The sequence below is a fragment of the Homo sapiens genome, chromosome 5, assembly GCF_000001405.40.
Source record: "Homo sapiens chromosome 5, GRCh38.p14 Primary Assembly".
Lineage (NCBI taxonomy): Eukaryota > Metazoa > Chordata > Mammalia > Primates > Hominidae > Homo > Homo sapiens.
The window spans coordinates 175,361,332-175,367,331 of NC_000005.10; the positions used below are offsets into that span (position 1 = coordinate 175,361,332).

General features: G+C 47.4%; 1 annotated feature.

The window, feature by feature from the left end:
* Positions 1,203-1,704: an enhancer, noted in NCBI's record as "NANOG hESC enhancer chr5:174789537-174790038 (GRCh37/hg19 assembly coordinates)". NCBI's record gives its function as "activates a minimal SCP1, AML or CMV promoter by ChIP-STARR-seq in primed H9 embryonic stem cells {active_cell/tissue: H9 hESC(primed)}" and the evidence as "EXISTENCE:reporter gene assay evidence [ECO:0000049][PMID:30033119]".

A 6,000-nucleotide genomic window follows, 5' to 3' on the forward strand; every position in this document is an offset into this window, starting at 1 on the left:
ATGATAGTTTAAGTAAAGCCTTCTGCCTAAACTATAATTGCTTGGCCACTGGCTCCTGGGGAAAGAGATAATAAGATTTTCATTATAAATCCTCCATCTTAGTAGTTTTTTTCTATAAAATTCAAGGGCAGAGATGATTTTTGAATGAAAGGGAACCCAGAACGAAATCAAACAAGGATGTAATTGCCTGCAGCCCCTCTAAGTAGGTATGCTGTTGCCTAACCTGTGCCCTCCTGCTAGCAAGCACTTCCTCCTTTAGCTACTGATGAACTCCTCTTCATCCTTCAAAACCCTGCTGGAGTGCCATCCCTTTGTGAACTTCACCCACACACACATCCACTGAGGCAGGTGCCGCTTTCTGTTACTTCCTGAAGCTTCTTATACAGACCTCTCTTACCACACTTTGCATGCTACTTTGGAATCTATTCATTTACATACAGCAGACAATGATTTCCTGCAAGGTAGAAGAAGTGAGAGAAAGTGAGGGAAGGACACAGTTCTTATAGTCAGTTAAATAGTATTAAAGAAACAAATTTATCTGTCAGTCTTGCTGGGTCCCCAAGGGCTTGGGGCATGGGGAAGAGGAAAAAGAGAAGGAAGAGGGTGAGAATGAGATGGAAAGCAGGACCATCATGGAAGGAATTCACGAGTGTAGCCTTTTTAGGTTACAGAAAGCAGCATCCAAAGTCATGAGGAGGCAAGACTAGGAGGAGCTGAAGCAGCTGGGGCTCCGGGGACCAGCATGTGGCTCTTTTGGTCACATGAGCTGGGAACCAGGGGCATAGGAAGCAGCATCCAGGACCCAGAATAATGAGGCTGATGAGGATTAGGCCAAGCATCTAGGCTGTTACTGAAAACTTTAGTGAACATCACTGCGTTCCTGGCTTTGTGCTGGAAGAAACAGAAGGAATCAGACATGGTCTTCCTCAAAGTTGAAGCGATTCCTCCAAAACTGACCAGGCATGTAAAAACGGCAATGACAGTGGGGCACGGTCAGTGTTGTGAAGGTGGAGTGGACAACGCATTGCAGGAGCTCAGAGGCAGAACTCACCCACTGTGCAAAGGTGCAGATCAGCGCTCCTAACCCATGGGGAAGCTGAGAAAGCAGCCAACTCCTACAAGCCTTGCCCCTCCCACCCAGGGCTCTGGGCTGTGCTTCTTCTGAGAGGCAGCATCCTGAGGAAGGGCTGCATGGAAAAGTTGCGGTGGATAAAAATCACAGGAGTTATCCATCCCCAGGGGCTGAGTGGAATGGGAGGATGGTGGACACATGAAGTTTACTGAATGGAGATGAAGAAAGCAAGTAAGAGCATGAAGTCCCCAAAATAAGGGAATCCGAGAGAGTAAGGCAGGAGCCAGAACCTCTCCAAGCTAGCCCAGCCCAGGGAGAGGAAAGAGGCACCATGTTTCTAAAGACCCATGAAGTGTTTCTCAGGCTTAGGTGAACATTGGAACCACCTGTGGAGTTTAAGTACCGATGCCTGAGTCCTTCACAGAGCAGGGAATTCATTGGTTTGGAGCCAGCCTGGGTATTGGGATTTTAAAAAGCTTCCCAGGTGATTCTAAGGCAGTTGAGATTTTTAAAAATTACTTATTTGAGGCAGGATGATATCAAATCTTTCTCAGGTGGAAAGGAAGGGAGGTGTTTAGAGGTAGAGGTGGAAGTGACGTGATCAGATGGAGGTGTGGAGAGCTCTTTGGGCACTGCAGAGTGGATGGCTGGGAAGGGACTGCATTCCTGCAAGGGACCTCTTGGAAGCCCCTCTCACCAGCTATGCCTGTTCTACCATAAGACATGTTCCCCATTGAGCACCTCTGCCATTGGTTAAAAAAAAAAAAAAAAAGGAATGATATCAGGATACGGCAAAAGGCTCGTTATTTTATACTTACTTTTTCCCAGCATCTTAATGACTTATGCCACTCAGTAGTCACAGCTGAACACAAAACGGAAAGTACACCAACACAGCTAACTACAGCCCTGTTACATTTTTTAACTTTATTACTTAAATTATCATACAGTAAACTTAGTTTTTTTCTTTTAGTGTAAGGCTCTATGAATTTTAATGCACCCATTTGTGTAACTGCTGGTACTATCAGGACACAGAAGAGTTCCACCATCCTAGAAAAATTCCCGCCTACTCGTGCAGCATGACACAGCGGGATTGGAGCACAGGTGCACAGTCCCGTGCATTATATAATCACAGTTATGTAACGATGTTATGGGTGGGCTCATCACCTGGCTCTGAGCCACTATTGTCTGTGAGGTGTATAAATGTATCACTGACACTGTGAGAGGCAGGGCATCATAAAGCCATGTCCCACCTACCTACAGCCCCCAGAATGTTCTTTCAACTACCTGCCACCCATCTACCAACTCCCCTCGGACCCCAGCCCAGGTTGGGACCTGACAATTGGCATAGTCGGCAGGATTCTGAGGTGAGTGAGTCCTCAGCCCCCGATGATCCCAGGTTGGCTCTGTGGCCCCAGCATGGGTTATGGCACCCGGTGGCAGGTGTGCTGCTCAGATGGGCCCTGGTGGAAACATGGGCAGCAGGTGACAGGGCCCCTGAGAGCATGGAGAAGGTGCTGAAGCACCTGGAAGTGCAAGCATCAAGAAGGGGTGTGCCTTTGCCAGTAGAGTTGGATGGGCGTTTTTGACTGTTTACCCTCCTCCTGTTAACCAGTGAGGCTGATCAAACCGAAAAGGTGGTGATGCAAAACCGATGGCCTTAGATATAGTAACGGCTGCCCAAGGTGGCACCTGTGCCCTTATAGGGACACAATGTTGTACATTTATTCCTGACAATCAACAAAACATAGAAGCAGCCTTGCAAGGGATGTCACAGGAGATTAAACCAGTTGAAAGCCTTACTGACGACCCCCTACAGAGATGGTGGGCGTCCCTGGGCACTGGCCTACTTCAGGCCCAAGTAATCGTGGGCAGCATAGCAGGAATATTAGTAGTAGGTTGCTGCTCCCCATATTGTTGCTGTGACCCAAGGGTCCAGGGTGTCACCTTGTGGGAACATCTCCCCACTAAGAGGACCTCCTCAGCCTAGGGGGTGGAGTGTAAAGACAATGGCTGCACAACAGTCAAGAGTAGGCTGAAGTAAACATCCAGTGAAGCATGACATAGTGGGATTGGACTGCAGGTGCACAATCCCGTGCATTATATAATCACAGGTATGTAACGATGTTATGAGTGGGCTCATCACCTGGCTCTGAGCCACTATTATCTGTGAAGTGTATAAATGTATCACCAACACTGTGACAGGTGGCACGTAATAAAGCCATGTCCCACCTACCTACTGCCCCCGAAGTGTTCTTTCAACTACCCACCAGCCATCCACCAACTCCCCTTGGACCCCAGCTCAGGTTAGAACCTGACACTCACTAACTGTCCCAGCCACACCCTCTTCCCTCCCTGGCAACCACTGAGCTATTTTTATGCCACCATCATTTTGTCTTAGAGAAGGTCACCTAAATGGAATCAGACTAAGTGCAAGCTTTCAAGGATGGATTCTTTCTGCCACATAATGTCTTGGAGATACATCCAAGGTGCTGTGTGTCAGTCCTTGGTTCCTTTTTGTTGCTGAGTAGTATCTTATTGCATAGAGGCACCGCAGTTTATCCAACACCTGCTGAAAGATTTTGATTTGCTTCCAGTGTTTGGAAATTTTGAAGACTGCTACCATATGCATTCACGTACAGTTTTTTGTGTAAACACGAGTTTTTTTTTTTCCCCGTAGCTTAAATAGCCTGGAGAGAGATTACTGAGGGATGCAGCCCTGTTATAGGTTAGGGCCCACTTTTAAAGAATACAAGTGTTTTCAAGATTATATAAAATAGTATTGGAGGAAAAAAACACTGTACCATTTGCAGGGCATGGAATAATCTTTTTTAAGCATATTTACTATCTGTATTAGACATAATTGCTGGAGTTATAAGGAACAGAAGTCCTTAGCTTCAGTGAAGAGAAATGCAGTAACAGGAAAGGGATGTGTCTCATGGAGCCCCAGGACAGGGATGAAGCAGGAACCACCGGCAGATGGAGAACAGGGCCAGGAAGCTGCCAGGAATCTCCCTGCATCCCTTGTATCTGCTTCTCTCTGGGCATCTACTTTATTCTTCTTTGCTGGAAAATGTATTCTCTCCTCCTTGGTCCTCAGGATATTTAGAAAATGCCACCTAGAGTTTCAAAGTTCACATATTAGAAGCCTAGCCATGCAGCCAGACTGACTCTCGGTCAATGCAAATTCCATGTTGGTAGGGCAAGAAATCTGGCGGGCAGCACATTCAGGCCCAATCAGTAAGAACTTCCATTCCTTGTAACCCAGCACTGCTGCCAGTGACAGCCCCTCCCACCACAACTCTGTGAATTGGGGTGCACTTCCCAGAGAAGAGACACTTGCGTGGAGGAGGCCTGCTCTGCATCACCCTCATCCCTGGCCAGAGAAGCCTCTGCCCACCCCTTCATAGCCCCTCAACAGGACAGAGGATCAGCCAGTCCTGGGCCAGAGTGTGAGATGAGGTCTGGTCTGATTTTGCTCCTAGATAGGTTACTGTACCTTAAAGCAGGGGTCCCCATCCCCCAGGCCATGGACCGGTGCTAGCCTGTGGCCTGCTAGGAACAAGGCTGCACAGCAGAAAGTGAATGGCAGGTGAGCATGAGCAAGCAAAGCTTCATCTCTATTTACAGCTGCTCCCCATGGTTCACATTACCACCCAAGATCTGCCCCCTGTTGGATCAGCAGCAGGATTCTCACAGAAGCATGAACCCTAATGTGAACTACACATGTGAGGGATCTAGGCTGCACACTCCTTATGAGACTCTAAAGCCTGATGATCTGAGGGAGAGCTGAGGCAGTGATGCTAGTGCTGGAGAGTGGCTGCAAATACAGATTAACATTAGCAGGGAGGTTTGACTACACAGAGACCATAATAAATCAGTTGCTTGCAAACGAATATCAAAACCTCAGTGAGTGGCAAGTGACAATTAAGCTGCATCTGTTGGCAGGGTTTACAGTGGCAAGTGAGTTGATGTACTTCAATTGTACAGCTGTCCCTGGTGGCCTTCAAAGTATGTTTGAGGCAACTTCAAATCTCCATACGTTCTTGATTAAAGTCAAGGCAGAATATCCTCAGATGAAAAGCCTGCTTCCATTTCCAACATCCTATCTTTGCGAAGCAGGGTTTTCTGCAGCAACAGTGAGTTAAACAAGATCATGGAGTAGACTAGACATTAGCAACGTAATTCGGGTGTCAGTGTCTCCATCACCCCCAGAGGGGAGCGTCTAGCTGCAGGAAAACAAGCTCAGGGCTCTCACGGATTCTACACTATGGGGAGTTGTATAATTATTTCATTATATATTACAGTGTAATAATAATAGAAATAAAGTGCACCATACATGTAATGCACTTGAATCACCCCAAAGCTACCCACCCCCCACCCCAGTCCATGGAAAATCTGTCTTCCATGAAACCAGTCCCTGGTGCCAAAAAGGTTGGGGACTGCTGCCTTAAGGGTTTTCTCTTCACTCTCATGTGTCTCCTGACATCCCTGGTTCCCTAGGGCAGATCAGCCAGCCTCTTTTCTCCTCTACTCCGTGGCTTTGTGGGGAGATTGAACTTCTTATAGGGATGGGGGTATCTCTCTTTTCTACCAAACCCATGAGGGCATTCCAGTCCCTCATTTAGATTTGGGGAGAAGAAGGTGGTCTGGGGAAACTTTTACTAAAAAGCTACAAAGATACTTGCCAAGGTATGAACAACATGGTGCTTTAATTCCAATTCTGCTCCTGAACTAGGTGTAAAGGTGCTCTAGACACTCTCTGAAGGGTGAGGGTGATAGGCAGAGCAGGACTGGAGCACTCCTGGGTCCTTGCCCATAATATCATCACGTACCAGCAATGCCCCACCTAATGCCTAACCACTCCCAAGAGGCAGCTAAGACGACATCCCAACTACCCCAGTGGATCTTTAATTACTACTTGCCTGGCC